At 34.8% G+C, this 19,435-nt stretch overlaps 1 annotated feature.

The window, feature by feature from the left end:
• Positions 331-832: an enhancer, noted in NCBI's record as "H3K4me1 hESC enhancer chr8:111094897-111095398 (GRCh37/hg19 assembly coordinates)". NCBI's record gives its function as "activates a minimal SCP1, AML or CMV promoter by ChIP-STARR-seq in naive H9 embryonic stem cells {active_cell/tissue: H9 hESC(naive)}" and the evidence as "EXISTENCE:reporter gene assay evidence [ECO:0000049][PMID:30033119]".

Here is a 19,435-nt window from a genome sequence, read left to right as displayed (position 1 = left end):
GGTTTCACCATGGACCAGCCCCTTTCCACCCAGGAGCCAGTCTGCATCCTGCCACCATTAACCTTCCATCCATGATGCCCACAGTTCCCAGGCTTTTTGTGCTGAGGGGTGCCTGCAGGCCTGTGCCAAGATGCCCTCAGCCCCCACTTGGCCTTTCTCCCATGTTGTCAGCATCCAAAGTCCAAAGGGGATCGAGGCAGCAAAGTGCTGGCATGGCAGTGCTGCCCTGAGCGTGTGCACACCCAGCTGGTTCATGACAGCACCCTGGCTCTCCCACAACTTTGCTCTGAAATCAGAGCAGGTGCAGGAAGAGACCAGGCAGTAGGAGCAGGCACTTCCATGCCTGCATTGTCGGGGGGCTTCCCAGGCTCTTGAGAGTGCAGAGATGTCTGGGTCCACCGCCTTGGTTGGGCAGCTGCAGCGGGGTTCCCACTCCTCCAACTTGGAAGGGGGCGGGGCTTCCACCTGTTGCCAGCTCCTGCTGGCTACAGGGAGTGCACAGCCCCAGCTGCACCTATCCCACTGAAGCTGGCATCGTGGCAGCGGCTGCTCCAGATGGGTCTTTGTTGCCGTCAATACTACCCAAAGCAATGTACAGATTCAATGCTATTTCATCAAACTTCCAACATCATTTTCCACAGAATTAGAAAAAAACTATTCTAAAATTCATATAAAACAAAAATGGAGCCTAAATAGCCAAAGCAGTCCTAAGTAAAAGGAACAAAGCTGGAGGCATAACATTACCTGACTTCGAATTAAATGACAAGGTTATAGTAACTCAAATATCATGGTACTGGGCAAAAACAAACACACCAACAAAGGAATAGATTAAATAACCCAGAAATAAAGCCACGTACCTAAAAACCATGTGATCTTTGATAAAGCTGAGAAAAACAAGCAATGGAGAAAGGACTCTATTAGATAAATGGTGCTGTGTTAACTGGCTAGCCATATGCCCAAGTTTGAAATTGGACCACTTCCTTTCACCATATACAAAAATTAACCCAAGATAGTTAAAGACTTAGACTTAAATGTAAAACCAAAAGCTATGAAGAACGTAGAAGAAAACCTAAGCAGTACCATTCTGGATATAGGCTGTGGCAAAGATTTCTTTATGAAGACTCCAAAAGCAATTGCAAAAAAAAATGACAAATGGGATCTAATTAAACTAAAGAGCTTCTGCACAGCAAAAGAAACTATTAACAGAATAAAGAATTTACAGAATGGGAGAAAGTTTTTGCAAACTATACATCCAGCAAAAGTCTAATCCAGCATCTATAAGGAACTTATAGGAGAAAAACAAGTGGGCAAAGGACATGAATAGACACTTTTCAAAAGAAAACAAATATGCAGCCAACAATCACTTGAAAAAAAAGGTCAACAACACTGATCATTTGAGAAATGCAAATCAAAACCACAATGAAATACAACCTCATATCAGTCAGAACTGCCATTATTAAAAAGTCAAAAAGTAATGGATGCTGAAGAGGTTGTAGAGAAAAAGGAATGCTTATACATTGTTGGTGTGATTGTAAATTAGTTCAACCATTGTGGAAGCCAGTGTAGCCATTCCTCAAAGACCTAAAGACAAAAATACCATTCGACCTACCAATCCCATTACAGAGTATATACCAAAAGGAATATAAAATTTTTCTATTATAAGGACACATGCTCATGTATATTCATTGCAACACTATTCAAAATAGCAAAGACGTGGAATCAACCTGGATGTCCCTCAGTAGTTAAATGGCTAAAGAAATCATTGCACATATACACTATGAAATACCACACAGCCATTAAAAAGAATGAAATCATTAATTACTAATTTATCAAGATGTCTTATTTAAGGTGAACATGTGGGCAATCTTGGTAGTCATGGACCTGAAGTAAGAACCAGATGTAAGGTATAGTTTCAGTATAGTCACCCTCAAGGTTCATGGGCCCTAAGCAAGGAGGTAGAACTTCCCGAGAGGGTAGGTGATTTCTCAAAGCTTGGTAGTTAAGAAACTAGGTTGCAGGCGATAAGCATATTGAGCAAAAATGATTGGACTTAGATGTACTGTGTAAGATGAATGACTGAATATACTTAGCATGTCCTTTGTAGAAACATGAATGTAGCTAAAAGCTATTATCCTAAGCAAATTAACACAGGAACAGAAAATCAAATACTTCATAAGTGTGAGCTAAACATTGAATACACATGGACACAAAGAAGGGAACAATAGTTACCTATTCAGGGTGGGGGTGGGAAGAGGGTAAGGAATGACAAACTACCTCTTGGGTACTACGCTCGCTATCTGAGTGATGAAATAACAAAACTCCAGTGACACACAATTTACACATGTACCAAACCTGCACATGTACCCGCAAACCTAAAATAAAAGTTGGAAGGAAAACAAATAAAACATAATTATTTGTTGTAACAAATAACTATTAGGGAACCATTCTTTTCTCATCATATGGAAGTGCTAGAATGAAAAGATTGTCCTCTTTCTCGTCAAAGTCAGTATTTCTCCTAAACAGACATGATCGATCTCATTGGTGAGTTTAAGAAAAGGAACAGGCAGCCACCATTCTACTTTACGATTCTAGGAGTCAATGATTCCACGTAAAAGTGAGATCCTTCAGTATTTGTCTTTCTGTATGTGACTTATTTCACATAGCATAATGCCCTCTAGGTTCATCCATGTTGTTACAAATAGCAGAATTTCCTTCTTTAAGGTTGAATAATATTCCATTGTATAATATGCATACATCATGTTTTCTTTATCCATTGACATCTCAATTGATATTTAGGTAGTTTCCATATTTTGGCTATTGTGAGTATTGCTGCAATGAAAACACAAGTGCAGATATCTCTTCAGAATCCTGATGTTAATTCATTTGGATAAATAACTAGAAGTAGGATTGCTGGATCATATGGAAGTTCTGTTTTTTGAAGAACCTCCATACTGTTTTCCACAAAGACTATGCCAATTTCTATTCCAAATAAAAGGGTACAGAGTTTCAGTTATGCATGAAAATTAAGTTCTGGAGATCTGCTAACTCTATAGTGTCTATAGCTCACAATACTGCAATGTATGCTTAAACTTTGCCAGAAGAGTAGATCTAATGGTAAGTGTTCTTGCCATAAAAAATTAACAATAATAATAAAAATAATAAAGAGGGTGGGAGGAAACTTCAGGAGGTGATAGATATGTCTATTGTCTTGATGGTGGTGATGCTTTCACAGCTTTAGGCTTATCCCCCAACGCATTGAGTTGTTTACATTAAGTATGTACAACTTTTTACATGTCAATCATAACAAAAGAATGCTTTCTAACAAACAACCCCATCAAAAAGTGTGTGAAGGATATGAACAGACAGTTCTCAAAAGAAGACATTTATGCAGCCAAAAAACACATGAAAAAATGCTCATCATCACTGGCCATCGGAGAAATGCAAATCAAAACCACAATGGCATACCATCTCACACCAGTTAGAATGGCGATCATTAAAAAGTCAGGAAACAACAGGTGCTGGAGAAGATGTGGAGAAATAGGAACACTTTTACACTGTTGGTGGGACTGTAAACTAGTTCAACCATTGTGGAAGTCAGTGTGGCGATTCCTCAGGGATCTAGAACTAAAAATACCATTTGACCCAGCCATCCCATTACTGGGTATATACCCAAAGGATTATAAATCATGCTGCTATAAAGACACATGCACACGTATGTTTATTGTGGCACTATTCACAATAGCAAAGACTTGGAACCAACCCAAATGTCCAACAATGATAGATTGGATTAAGAAAATGTGGCACATATACACCATGTAATACTATGCAGCCATAAGAAAGGATGAGTTCATGTCCTTTGTAGGGACATGGATGAAGCTGGAAACTATCATTCTCAGCAAACTATCGCAAGGACAAAAAACCAAACAGCGCATGTTCTCACTCATAGGTGGGAATTGAACAATAGAACACATGGACACAGGAAGGGGAACATCACACACCGGGGTCTGTTGTGGGGTGGGGGGAAGGGGGAAGGATAGCATTAGGAGATACACCTAATGCTAAATGACGAGTTAATGGGTACAGCACACCAACATGGCACATGTATACATATGTAACACACCTGCACGTTGTGCACATGTACCTTAAACCTTCAAGTATAATAATAATAAAATTAAATTAAATTAAAAAGATAGTAAAATTTTTAAAAAATGCTTTCTAAAAAAGAAATAAAGCAAAGGAATAGGACTTGCTTCTTTCTTTTATTTCAGATATGCTGAGCTGCAGAAGGTACAGGATCTCTCTTCAACCGCATGACAATGTTTTAGGGTAGATCCTGCACTTCAAAGAAACTTCTTCAGTATTGCGAGGGGCAATAAGTTTTGTAATGGGTTAAACTATAAGGAAATCATTGTAACCACCATCTCAGTCACATTCTCTACTTATAATCACCATCTGTCTGACACCCGTGTGTATCTTTTTACTGGACTAAACCCAAGAAAGGAATTAACAGGTATGATCTATTAGGTCTCTAAAACCTAGGAAATATTAGTAGAGTGTGGTTCTGGAGTAAACTTCTTATTCTGGTTTTGGGCTAATTTGATACCAAATTTTTGCTGTTTTTCTTATTACCAATCTGATCCTTCCTCATTATTAAATGTCTTCCATGCTCCACCCTGTTTCTATTCCAGGTATGTCGCTGTCTGCATAATATGCAAACCTAACACTTGAGTGCTGATCATGTAAAAGATACTGTAAGTTTACAAGTACCATTGAATTTAAATGAAATTTAAATTCAAATCAACCATATAATATAGGTACTTTTATTTTTCCAATGTAAACAATTTACCAAGCTTAAGGAACTTCAATAGCCATTATGAGATCATATATCTGGAAGATGGTAGAACTGAAGTTCAAACCCAGTTTTAGATAATTCTAAATCCCATGGTTTTGAAATGTTTCAGGTTAAACAATCCTGACAAAAATCCAGTTAATTCTACAGATGTAATAGTTATTTGTTGTATTATTTAAATAGTTGAACAACTACCTAATAACTATTTGTAATGTGCCAGTCACTGTTGTATGTGCTGGCCATAGAATACTGAACAAGACTGAGAATATTTTTTGCTCAAGAAACATGACGGAAGGGGGATGAGTAAATTACTAGATGGATGGATGGATGGATAGATAGATAGATAGATAGATAGATAGATAGATAGATAGATAGATTTAAATAGTGAAAGGGTGCTACAAAGGATATAAAAAAAGAAGCTAATGGAATCAACACTGATGGAATTGAGAAAGGGGATGCAGCAAGACCAGTTTAGACTGGATGATGCCAGGAAGCCTCTCTGCATCAGTGATTTTTTAGCTCAGCCCTGAAGGAGAAGTCAGCAAAGAGAAAATCTTCAGTTATGACATGGATGAAGCTGGAAACCATCATTCTCTGCAAACTATCGCAAGGATAAAAAACCAAACACTGCATGTTCTCACTCATAGGTGGGAACTGAACAATGAGAACACATGGACACAGGAAGGGGAACATCACACACCGGGGCCTGTTGTGGGGTCGGGGGAGTGGGGAGGGATAGCATTAGGAGATATACCTAATGTTAAATGAAGAGATAATGGGTGCAGCACACCAACATGGCACATGTATACATATGTAACAAACCTGCACGTTGTGCACATGTACCCTAAAACTTAAAGTATAATTTAAAAAAAAAGAGAAACAGAAGTGTGAAAGGGAAAGAACATAAATTCTGAAGGCAGGCCTTTTGCATTTGAAACCTGTAGAACATACCACATGTGTGACCATATGCAAGCTATTCCATGTTATTTTTTGTCAGTTTTCCTTTATAAAATGGAGAAGATAATCACACTTCATAGGTTTGTTATGTCATTAAATGACTTAATTTATACAAAAGGCTTAGGCTAGTGCCTCAACGTAGCAAACAATATGTTAGTGTTTGGTACCACCACCATCACACCATCGTCATCTTCATTATCCTCATTCCAAGTAGAACAAGTGGCTTTTCAAGGCTTTAAAGCTGCTTTCTGACACCACTATTATTATTACCCCAAATTTACAGAAGACTGAGGCCAGACTCAGCTGATTTTCTATTCCAGCTGTCCAAGTACACTGAATAGTAAGAAATGCACTAAAGTTTAATTGTTACTTTCAGTTTTTGTGTCTGAGGCTAAAGGTAATAATCACTTGTTTTAAGAAATATAAATAATTTGGAGTTAAATAAACTTATAAGGAATTATGCAGGTATTAGTATTTTATTACCATAATATCACAGTACTGGATAGAGCTCATACTGGTTTTTATAAAATAATATTTGTACTCAAATGTATTAAAATAATGGTACAAAGAAAATATTTTCTGTATTTTTGGATCCCCAAATCTAAAGTTCTTATTGGAGTATTACACAGTATGTTTTTCTGATTTCTACTGACTTAATCATAAGAATATATATTCACTCATACATATATTCAGTTAAATGAAAATTACTCAAGACAAGATATTTTAGTGAATCAATTATACTTGGATAACATTATTTTCACAGTCTTATTTCAAGGATCTGGAAATAGTTTATTCTTATAAAATGTTGATAAACCAGTGAAAAATGAAGTAAACTGAGGAAGGTGATTTGTTGTCATTAGACTTGTATGTACTTGTACATAATTGGATTAGCTAATTTAGAAAAAATAATGATATGTATAAATCTTTCCTAAACACACGAAGATCATCAGAATTGTTCTACTGAAACTCTTTGAGAATTGAAACCTTTGTGTAGATTCCAGCTTACAGCCATTATCTATCACTGTCATCATATGAAAAAAAAAAAGGTACACCTTCTCATGCTGAGTTTGAAAACATAGAAGGAAAATGGCGAGTAAATTTTAATGTATAAATTGATTACTAAGATATTCCATGGCAATGTAGTGCTCTTCACCAAGTCAATTTTAATGCCTATATATTTTTTAAAGAATTCAGAATAAGCAATCAGTAACATAAATTGACCTGCGGCTGAATCACTTTATTTAAGTGACTAGGAAATACATTAATGAGAGGAAGAAAAATTGTGAAGTATTTACATGTGGCTTGGATTATCATTCCCTGATTTTCTATATCTATAGCCATATCTGCTTTCTGTTTCTGTACTGTAATATCTAGTTATATCCATTAAACATGTGATAAGCTTTTTTGATGGTGATAAAATTTTAAGGAATTTAAAATATTTTCAATGTACACATTAAGGATGTACTCCTCAACATGCACGTATCAAACTAAACTACAGGGTTACAGTAACCAAAACAACATGGTACTGGTACAAAAACAGGCACATAGACCAATGAAACAGAACAGAAAGCCCAGAAAGAAGGTCGCACATCTATGACCATCTTATCTTTGACAAAGCTGACAAAAGCAACGGGGAAAAGACTCCCTGTTTAATAACTGGGATAACTGGCTAGCTATATGCAGAAGATTGAAGCTGGACCCCTTCCTTACACCATATAGAAAAATCAACTCAAGATGGATTAGACTTAAATCTAAAACCCAACACTATAAAAACCCTGTAAGACAACATAGGCAATACCATTACAATATTACAGTTACTTATATAAATAGAAATATTTAACTAATTTATTTGTTTACTCTTTTCATTTAACACATTTTTAAAGCTATTTTTTGTTTTTAGCTCTTTTTACTATTTTTAGCTCATGCACAGGTGGTCTTGCATTATTATACATAAAATTTATGTAAGTCTAATACGGGGTTAATCCCATTTATATTATCTTTGTGAATATTTTATTTTTATCAATTTCTTTTGGTGAAGTAATATAATGCAGACTCTACAAGTAAAAGTCATATGGTCATATAATCTATGTTAAAGGAGAAAATACATTTTTTATCTCATTAAACTATAATTTAGTATTACTTTAAATTTCTCTTAAATGAAAGTCAAGTCTTCCTTTCAAAATATTTTCTTTCTTCCTTCTCTAATTCCCCAAGAACATACTTTGAATATCCTTGTTATAAACTTCAAATTAGTTTTTGATTCTTTTTTCCCCTTTCACTTCAATACATTCATTTAGATACTAATTCATGTAACTTTTTATCCCCATATTATTTGAATTTAATAAGGAACATAGCAAGTCATAATTTACCTTGCGTTACATCCAATCTCATCTACTTTTATTCACTTTACATTGAACTCTTTATCAAGAATGGTACTAATAATTTTACTCTTTGCCTCATAAACATTTAGTTACCTACTGATACAGTTCAGTCTCTTTGTGCTACTATCCAAGGTCAGAAATCTAAGTTTTCTTTGTGGAGAGAATTATGTCAGCTGAATGAGTACGTAATTTCAATAATAATGTCTAGAATATTGACTAAATTATTTTTTCAACCAAAGGGCTCTCACGGCACATGCATGACATTCTGCTGCCTTTATGGACTACATTAGAACCTCTGTGTCCCAAATTGTCTGTAATGTATTCTGTGATCCTGTATAATTCCATTATTATTATTATACCATTACTATTCCTATTACTTGCTTGCTTAGCTCCGTCTTACCTATGTTTGGTTAGGTATTGCTATGGGCTGAATGTGCCCCCCCTCCACCCCACTTAAGTTCGTATGTTGAAATGCTAACCGCCAATGTGATGGTATTAGGTTCTGGGGCCTTTGGGAGGTGATTAGATCACAAGGGTGGAGCTTTCAAGAATGGAATTAGTGTCCATATAAAAGAAACCAGAGAGCTTGTTTTATGTCTCTGCTCTCAGTCATGTTCATTTGCATAGAACATTTATATTTAACTACCTTTAGTGTTTTCCAATGAAAAAGGTAACACAGATATTTATGGATAAATAACAACAGACAGATCAAAATCTTAAGACTGACAGACCCTTTCACACTTTTTACATTTACTCTATAAACTGAAGGACACCCATCACTCTACTCTGCTATTGAAATTGTACCACAAAATTTGAAACCCAGAGAATTAATAAACAATTTACAAGGAAGCTGATATTTTGCTTGGAATTTCAGATTGCATTCATCTTCAAGCTTTCTTGTGAATAACTGTGTAAAAGTAAAATTCACATTACAATTATTTCTGTGAAAACATACTGCTGAACATCCATTACGAATGTAGCATATTTTTAGACATTTTTGAGGATAGGGTGAAAGAATTAGCTCTAACATAAACACATATAAATAGTGAGGGAAACTTCAAATAATTTATCATCAAACATTGTAAACAAATTATACAAAGTACTTATACTACTTAAAAGAAATCGAGGTCAATGAAAGTTAGATAAGTCAGTAAAGACACATCTAGGATGTAATCTGGCCATTTATTAGGGAGAAGATAAAATATATAATAACCTATAAATGAAAATAAATAAATAAAGTCACAGTATGAAAACTATGATGTTCAAATTTGCATTTTAGAGAAAAGGGAAATGGAAATGCTTGGCCAACTCAGGACATAGAATAGCTTATACAGCCAAAACAACTATGTGCTTTCTTACATTACTAACTGGAAACAAAGATCTCTACTTTCTGCAACTCACCCAGAGTACTGAGCATGCAAGAAAACCTTGTGGTCAAAGCATCTGAGGATAGATTCCTGGCACTCTACCTGTCTTAGTTCAGGTTGCTATAATGGAAACACCATAGACTAAGTGGCTTAAAAGACAGAAATCTATTTCTCACACTTCTGGAGGTTAGAAGTCTAATATCAGGGTAACAGCAGATCTGGTTTCTGGTGACCACACAACTTCTGGATTTGCAGATGAACATCTTCTCCTTGTTCATCTGCTTTTTGAAAACTTATATTGATTCTTAGCGATTACATTGTTTTCTATATGTTTAAAACTGATCTGCATAATATTTATACTTTTCCCAAAGGCCTCCAGTTTACATAATTTGTTAGCTACTTTTTCTCTAGTTTATCCAAACCTCTCCTCTATTCTTTATTTCTTACCTCTATCTGATAATTCACGCCATATATGTTGATATTTTGATTACTGGAATCTCTTTTATTTTCTTAGCCTATCAGAGATAATTGACAGTGGTTCAGATTATGTAAACCCATTTTATATAATGAGGGTATAATTAATTTAAACAACTAGGTGCTTTAAAAACTGCATTTCTCATCAATTATTGCTTTATAATTGAATATTTTACCCTCCTGGACACAGGAACTGGCAAAGATTTAATGACAAGGATACCAAAAGCAATCACAACAAAAGCAAAAATTGACAAGTGGAATCTAATTAAACTAAAGAGCTTCTGCACAGCAAAATAAACTATCAACAGAGTAAACAGAAAACCTACAGAATGGGAAAAATTTTTGCAAATTATGCATCAGATAAAGGTCTTATCCAACATTTATAAGGAATTTAAACAAATTTACAAGAGGAAAGCAAACAGCCCCATTAAAAAGTGAGCAAAGAACATGAACATATACTTCGCAAAAGAAGGTATTTATGTGGCCACAAGCACATTTTTAAAAGCTCAATATCACTGATCATTAGAGAAATGCAAATCAAAACCACAGTGAGATACCATCTCACAACAGTCAAAATGGCTATTACTAAAAAGTTAAAAAACAAAAACAAAAACAAACAAACAAGAAAACCAGACTCTGGCGAAGTTGCCAAGAAAAGGGAACATTTATACACTGTTGGTGGGAAGGTAAATTAGTTCAACCATTGGGGAAAGCAATATATAACAATTTCTCAAACTGCTAAAAGCAGAACTACGATTCAACCCAACAATACCATTACTGGCTACACACCCAGAGGAATATAAATTATTTTACCATAAAGATAGAGGCATGTAAATGTTCATTGCAGCACCATTCACAATAGCAAAGACATGGGATCAACCTAAATGCCCATCAATGACAGATTAGATAAAGAAAATATGGCACACATACACCATGGAATACAAAATACAGCCATAAAAAAGAATGAAATTATGTCTTTTGCAGGAACACGGATGGAGCTGGAGGCTAATATCCTTCTTAAATACCGCATGTTCTCATGTATAAGTGGGAGCTAAATGATAAGAACTTAAGAACACAAAGAAGGGTACAACAGACACTGGAGTCTACTTGAGGGTAGAGGGTAGAAGGAGGGAGAGATGCAGTAACAATAACTACTGGGCACTGGGCTTAATACTTGGGTGATAAAATGATCTATCCAACAAACCACCATGACACGAGTTTACCTACATATTATAACAAACCTCCACATGTACCTCTGAACCTAAAATAAAAGTTTAAAAATTAAGTAAAAAAAATTATCTTTCACTCTTTGATTTTAAAAATCCTGGAAACAGTTGTTAATATGAACATTTATGCATTAAAAACAAAACTCAAATCAACAAGTTGGAATTCTACCTTAAAAGAAGCAACATAAAATTCAAAGAAGGTCAAATATAACATTCTGCATTTATACAACAGAAATCAATTGGGTATGTATATAGTCTGAGGAATACGAATAAAAATCATTGCATGTGAAGGAAATTTAGGAATTATCTAAATGTAATTTGTCCATATTATACTCTAAACCAACAGTGGGATGTGTCAAGACTCATCAAGGGGTAGGTCAGTCTGTCATAGAAATGAGAGTGATACAGAAATTAAGGATTTTGGATAGGCCCTTGGAGAAGCAATTTCTACAATCATCCCAGGAGGTTTACAAGCCAACCTTGGACAAAGAGAAATATGCTTAAATAAATAACATAAATAGCATAGACAATAACATAAGTAGCATAGACAATAACAAAAGACGGCATAGAGAATATGGTTACTGAAGTCCATAAAAAATTAGTAATGGGAGTTTCTATAGATGTAAGGATTAATTCAGCTTAAAATCTCAAAGGCAGAGCTTACATAAGGTGTCATAAGTGTACTGAGGTGATAAGGGTGGAAATAATTCACATTTAGGAGTTTACAAAAACACTCAATCTTATTCATGTTTGTATCACAGGGTCTGATACAAGGTAAAATATTATTGAGTAAATTACCATTAAAAAGGACAAAATCTTATACAGGGAAAGACCAAACAGATATAAGATTAGAAGTGGAGGTTGGCTTTGTAATTTTTTAATTTGTTTTAAATTTTAATGGCCAACTTGAAAACCACTGTGTTACAAATTTCTTACTTTAAGGCCATATTTTTTACTTAAAAATTGTAATTTCTATCCTACCCCCTGGTAAGACCTAACATTTTCCTGGCTTGGGTAAGCATTCCCTGAGGAATTACAGATAGGAAAAAAAGGCTGCCCATGGAGGAAAGAATATTAAAGCCAGATTGTGAAGGGTCTTGAAGATGGTTCTAAGGAGTTTGGACCTTATCATAAAGAAAAATATTATAGCAAGTTTGTGTCTCTTAAAGTAAATTTTATCTTCATTATGGCAGATAGTTTAATGTAGAAATATTAAAGATAAGCAAAATTATTACGAGATTTTACAGGGTTAATAATATTGAACTACAAAAAGTAGAGCAATAAGTTAAATAACATTATCAGGAGTCAAATAAGATCAATTCAGAAAATGCGGAACATTCTAAAATACAATTGATCTGTTTATTCCCAATAATATATTTATGGGAAAAAATAGGAAGATGAAAAGATATTTAAGAGACATAATAAATAAAATCAATAATATTTGGTTGGATACTGACATCCTCCCCCAGAAAAAAAAATACATTTTTGTGACTTGGGGAAATCTGACTTATCAGTTGTCAGGTTATTAGACAATCTAGTAATGTTAACGGATAACTTCCAGAAGTTATGTGTAATTTTGATATAATGACATAGAGTTGTTAATATATTTAGGGATGAATTGTCACCATTATTGTATTGTACTATAAAATGCTATAGCTAAAAATAAATATATAAACACATAAAATATATAGGTGATATATAAAATATGCAACAAATATAAAATATTGAAAATAGTTTTGGATAGAGGTGATGAGTATGTTGTACTTATTTTAATATTCACTATGCTTTTAAGTATACTTAGCTGTTTTGAAATAAATAGTTTAAAAAAGCTATTACATTAGTTTACGTTTTAGAAAACCTCAAAATGCAAGGATCAGCTAGGTAAGCAAACCAGTATTTTGGAAAATGAGAAAAGCACTTTGGGAGGCCAAGGCAGGAGAATTGCTTGAGCCTAGGCATTTGAGACTAGCTTGGGGCAACATAGTGAGACCCTATCTCTACCAAAAGTTTTTAAAAAAAAAAAATTAGCCAAACATGGCAGTGCATGCCTGTAGTCTCAGCTACTCAGGAGGGTGAGGTGGGAGGATTTCTTGAGCCTGAGAGGCTGCAGTGAGCCAAGATTGTGCCACTGCACTCCAGACTATTAGACGCAGCAAGACTCTGCTCCAAAAAATAAATAAATAAATAAATAAAGGTGGGGGGTGGGGGGGGGAGGAGAGAGAGAAGAGAAACTAGAATTATGAATAATACTAAAGCACAAAATTTTATAAAGTAGGTGGTACTTCAAAAACAGGTCTTCAAAATAATGTAGTTTTTTATTTCCTTCTTCAGGATCAAGCCATTTAAAATTTTAAATGTAAAACTCATCCATTATTATCCACTAAAATTGCAAATTTAATAATCACATAGAATAAAAAATGCTGCATCAAAGTAGTTGTTAGAAATCATTAAAGCTAACTTTTGAGAAGGGCAGTTGCTTTTGTAATATTTTTACCCATCTCCTCTTTACATGGGTGTTTATTCATTTAAACTTGATCTGTACCTGTTCTCTTTCTATTTATGAGTCCCAGCTTCTCATTCTTGGGTAATTGAAGTGTTTCATCTTCAAAGTACCTCTTCTCAGGTCCTGAATAGCTTACATCCTAATACTCTAATTCTCAAAGGCTTATCTGCTACACTGATATCAGAGGGTCCTTATGAAAGAAACATTAAGGACCATACGAGATGACAGTTAAACTCAAATTATGTAATGAGGTTCCTCTGTGACTTTAGAATTTGTCATAGTCTATCGCATCTGGGTTATTCAAGTCATATCTAAGACAGCACTAACTATAAAATGCACCAATAACATGCATTTGCCACTAGGGTCTTTACCTGTGTCACTTACTCTTTTTTTTAATTTTTATTATTTTTATTTTTTATTTTATTATTATTATACTTTAAGTTTTAGGGTACATGTGCACAATGTGCAGGTTAGTTACATATGTATACATGTGCCATGCTGGTGTGCTGCACCCATTCTTGTCATTTAGCATTAGGTATCTCCTAAAGCTATCCCTCCCCCCTCCCCCCACCCCACAACAGTCCCCAGAGTGTGATGCTCCCCTTCCTGTGTCCATGTGTTCGCATTGTAAAATTCCCACCTATGAGTGAGAACATGCGGTGTTTGGTTTTTTGTTCTTGCGATAGTTTACTGAGAATGATGATTTCCAATTTCATCCATGTCCCTACAAAGGACATGAACTCATCCTTTTTTATGGCTGCATAGTATTCCATGGTGTATATGTGCCACATTTTCTTAATCCAGTCTATCACTGTTGGACATTTGGGTTTGTTCCAAGTCTTTGCTATTGTGAATAGTGCCACAATAAACATACTTGTGCATGTGTCTTTATAGCAGCATGATTTATAATCCTTTGGGTATATACCCAGTAATGGGATGGCTGGGTCAAATGGTATTTCTAGTTCTAGATCTCTGAGGAATCGCCACACTGACTTCCACAATGGTTGAACTAGTTTACAGTCCCACCAACAGTGTAAAAGTGTTCCTATTTCTCCACATCTTCTCCAGCACCTGTTGCTTCCTGACTTTTTAATGATTGCCATTCTAACTGGTGTGAGATGGTATGTCATTGTGGTTTTGATTTGCATTTCTCTGATGGCCAGTGATGATGAGCATTTTTTCATGTGTTTTTTGGCTGCATAAATGTCTTCTTTTGAGAAGTGTCTGTTCATGTCCTTCACCCACTTTTTGATGGGGTTGTTTGTTTTTTTCTTCTAACTTTGTTTGAGTTCATTGTAGATTCTGGATATTAGCCCTTTGTCAGATGAGTAGGTTGCGAAAATTTTCTCCCATTTTGTAGGTTGCCTGTTCACTCTGATGGTAGTTTCTTTTGCTGTGCAGAAGCTCTTTAGTTTAATTAGATCCCATTTGTCAATTTTGGCTTTTGTTGCCATTGCTTTTGGTGTTTTAGACATGAAGTCCTTGCCATGCCTATGTCCTGAATGGTATTGCCTAGGTTTCCTTCTAGGCTTTTTATGGTTTTAGGTCTAATGTTTAAGTCTTTAATCCATTTTGAATTAATTTTTGTATAAGGTGTAAGGAAGGGATCCAGTTTCAGCTTTCTACATATGGCTAGCCAGTTTTCCTCTTAAAAAGTTGTACTGCTGCAGTGATGTATTCACTGCCTTAATAATAGGTTGTAATTGTCCTCTTTCATTCACAGAAAAATCTGGTGAGCCGTGTAAACTGGAATAGCATTTAACTTCTAAAATAAGACTTGCACCAGAATAACAATGCTTCACATATAATGGCAATAGTGATCCTCTCAACTGTATCTTTTGTCCTTTTCCTGAGTAAAGTTTAGACTGCCCTTATTCTGAAACTATTTCTAAATCTATTATTTAGATATGTTATTCAGTATATTCTCTCAAATGATAAATGCCTAAATAAGTTTAAGACACTATAAATGACACAGAACATGACCATGAAACATGCTATTAAAAATCCAAAGCAATGAAATAAGGCTAAAATCAAATCAGCCTTTGAATGTTTTAAGGAGATGGACACCACAAATGATAGAATTCATATTTTGTGATACTCTCCACTGAAGAGGACGTGTCCAGCACAAAGCCATGAAGAATATAGTTAAGATAAGTTTTTAGGTCCAACCAATATCTCAATGATTATGTGCAAAAGGATATGGCTATATTAATTTCATCTCTTGATTAAAGAAATCATAAAAATCAAACAAGATAGCCCACCTTTTTAGTTATTACAAGGACATATACGGTCATGTATCACTTACTGATGGTGATAAATTCTGGAAAATGTGCCCTTAGGCAATTTCATCATTGTGCGAACCTCATAGTGTACCTACACAAACCTAAATGGCATAGCTTACTACACACCTAGGTTAGATGGTATAGCCTACTGCTCCTAGGCTATACTATATACTATACTAGGTACAGCCTCCTGCTCCTAGGCTACAAACCTGTGCAACATGTTACTATACTGCATACTGTAGGCAATTGTAACACAATGGTAAGTACTTGTGTATCTAAATATATCTCAACATAGAAAAGGCATAGCAAAACCACAGCATTATACTTTATCATAATCTTATGAGATCATCATCATATATGTGGTCTGTCATTGATGAAATGTTCTGCAGCTCATGACTGTATTTTGAAAGGATAGGATAGTATTTAGAACACATGTAGAAATATTCTCTTATACAAAGCAAGACATTTTGACAGTGTATTTAAAATACTGTTGATTCAAAATATAACTATTATAAACATATTCAAATATTTTTATTATCTGTAGCAAATAAAACAGATTAACCATATTTAAATGTATTACTGTATTGTATGGCTTCCAACAAAATGGAATTAATATCACATTTGAGATATTTCATCTACAAAAAACACATCTGACTCAAAGAATACATTGCAAAATGTTTACTAAGTAATACCTAATGGTATATAGTAAAATAGAGGTAATAACTATATTTTATAATGACACTTTTTTTCTTTAGAAAATCAATTTTTGGTGACTCAAGTGAACTGCAAAAAAAAAAAGGGCAAATCATAACAGCACATTGAGCGTGCCCTACTTACAATCCAGCTAACTGCTCAAAAGAAAGACAGAGCTCGGTAGGACAACGATGCTTTCCCTTGTGTGCCTTTAGCAGGCAGTATCCCACACAACTACACAATATCACCCAAGGAATCATCAGGGTCTGCCTATTGATGTTGTGCTCTTCATTGTTTATGAATTGAGAAGGTGAGTTTCAGCACAAAGTGTTCTAGAAAACACCAGTCATCCTTCTGTTTTTTTCTCTTTGTTTTTGAACTTGAGGATCATAAGTTTGTTAAAATAGTTTCTGTTGACCTCATGGGCTGTATAGGCTCAACTAATCTCCTGATTATCTTTATTCTGTCTATCTGATGCTTTTTGATGGTAAGCTGTCATTTGTAACTAAGTTCATTCTTTCAAAAGTTTTTGTGACTTTTTTTCCTGTGGCATAAAGAAATCGGAATGATAACCTCCTTTTTGCTGTTTTAATTCAGCCAGGGTAACGTACCTTTTAATAGTAACCTCTTTTTTCCTTGTATTTGATTTTTGCGATCAACTATATTACCACTTGCTGGGTGACAGAGTAATACCCTGTCTCAAAATAATAATAATAATAATAATAATTGCCCTCTATCTCTGTCTTTCTGAGTTCCAGTAACAATCTCCTTCCTCTGTCTCCTTAAGCCAAAGGTGGTAATAGTTTGACATCCCTTTTCCCTTCCTCTACATCCTTCCCACATCTTCATAAATCACCCTTTATTAAACAATTTTTTAATCACTCCATGTTCATCCCCTTCTACTTTCATACTGGGACATTCATAATATTTTACTTACATTTGTACCATAGTGCTTAAAACACTATAACAGGTTATAAGTAGTTTCATAAACATTTATTTCTCCAATAAAATATGAGTTATTTGAAAAAATATCTTGTTTATACATATTTGTATCTTTCAGCACATGTGTTTTCCACATTATTGAGTACCCAATAAATATTTTTACAATTGAAATTTACTTTGAGATGTTTGGTCTTTCATATAAAGATAAAGAACAAAAGTTCAAACCCTTACTTTGGAAGCTAACATTTATCAGCTTACTGACTTTGCATATGTAATTTAATTTCTTTCTTAAATCACCTTTAGACATTGATGGAATTACATCAGCTATTGGTGAATGCAGAAAACCTTTAATGAAAGGTCATGGCCATGATTAGAGAATCAATGCTCTAAAGGGCACTGAATTAAATTTTTATCTTATTCTGTGGAAGATTAATTTAAGTGATTTTATCTTTTGCCAAAAAAAAAAAAATTGCCTTTTTTTTGATACCCTATGCACTGATGAAAATGTGTGCTGTTATTAAAGAAACAATCAGGACCATTCTGTGATGGAGAAAATAATGCTGCGGATGGCAACAGCCAACTTCAGTTTATAACATTCTTCTAACAATTCAATATATGGCATCTATAAAAAACCTAAATAAATAAACTAATTAGTACTGGGGAACTTTCATCTCATATTCTTTGCTTCTTATCCAACGACAAGATATTTGATTTTTTTTTACAGGCACACTTAGACACACACACACACACGCACACACAAAATCAAATGGTTATTGAATGTTTAAGCAGAACACTCTGTTAATCCTTAATAAATCTGTAATATACTTAGAAAAATAACAGATATATAACATTTATATGGCAATATAAAAGAGAAATGAACCTTCTATGCCATACCCAAAAATCATCCCTAAGTAGGCATGGCTATTGATCAAGTAAATGGCACAGGTAGTGATCATTATGAGACTTAAAAATTAAATCATTATAACAGGTCATGGAGGAAATGTGGTTTAAAATGGAAACTGAAGGACAGAAAAAGTTGGAGGAATATCTTTCAAACTAAGAAATACAATACACAAAAATACAAAAATGGAAAAGTATCAAGGATATTTAAAGAACGGCAATTATACATGACTAGTGTTGAGTACACTGACAAATATTTGGTTAATATTATGGCATAATTTGAACACCATTTGAAGGAGAATAATAATGTCTGAGTTGACAGTTGAAAGCTACATTTTAGCGATACAATTCTTTTCTTTTTTTTTTTTTTTAAGGAAACTAGATGTCCATTTACCTACCAAATAGATGTCTTGGATAAGTTACCTCACCTCTCTTTGCCTCGATTCCTTCAACCATGAAGTGGCATAGGAATATTGAAACAGGAAAAGTCCCCTTATGCCTTTGGCAGGGCATGCAATGAAGGTGTGGCTCGCTTCTTCGGTGCCCCGCTGCTCAAACCTCTAGCAGGAGCATGCAGACAGGCAGGTTGTGGGGTTCCCATCCCCACAGCGGCATTTAGGGCTGAATGTTTATAGCTGAAGCCCCAGCGGGCATGTGTTACAGGGTGCTCCTTCAGTGTAGCCATCCATAGATAGTTTGTGTTAGCTCGATTAAACCCCCTGCCTTATTGCAAGAACAGACGACTTTCTGTATCCCAGGGTTTCTTGCCTTGGTGTACTAGAAGAATGGGGTCACAGGTGGGCTTGGAGAATGAGTGCAAGGCTTTATTGAGTGGTAGTAGCTCTCAGCAGATGGGGGAGC

The sequence above is a fragment of the Homo sapiens genome, chromosome 8 (assembly GCF_000001405.40).
Source record: "Homo sapiens chromosome 8, GRCh38.p14 Primary Assembly".
In the NCBI taxonomy this organism is placed as follows: Eukaryota; Metazoa; Chordata; class Mammalia; order Primates; family Hominidae; genus Homo; species Homo sapiens.
Note: the sequence above shows the minus strand (reverse complement) of the source record. Positions and strands in the feature narration are given on the sequence as shown.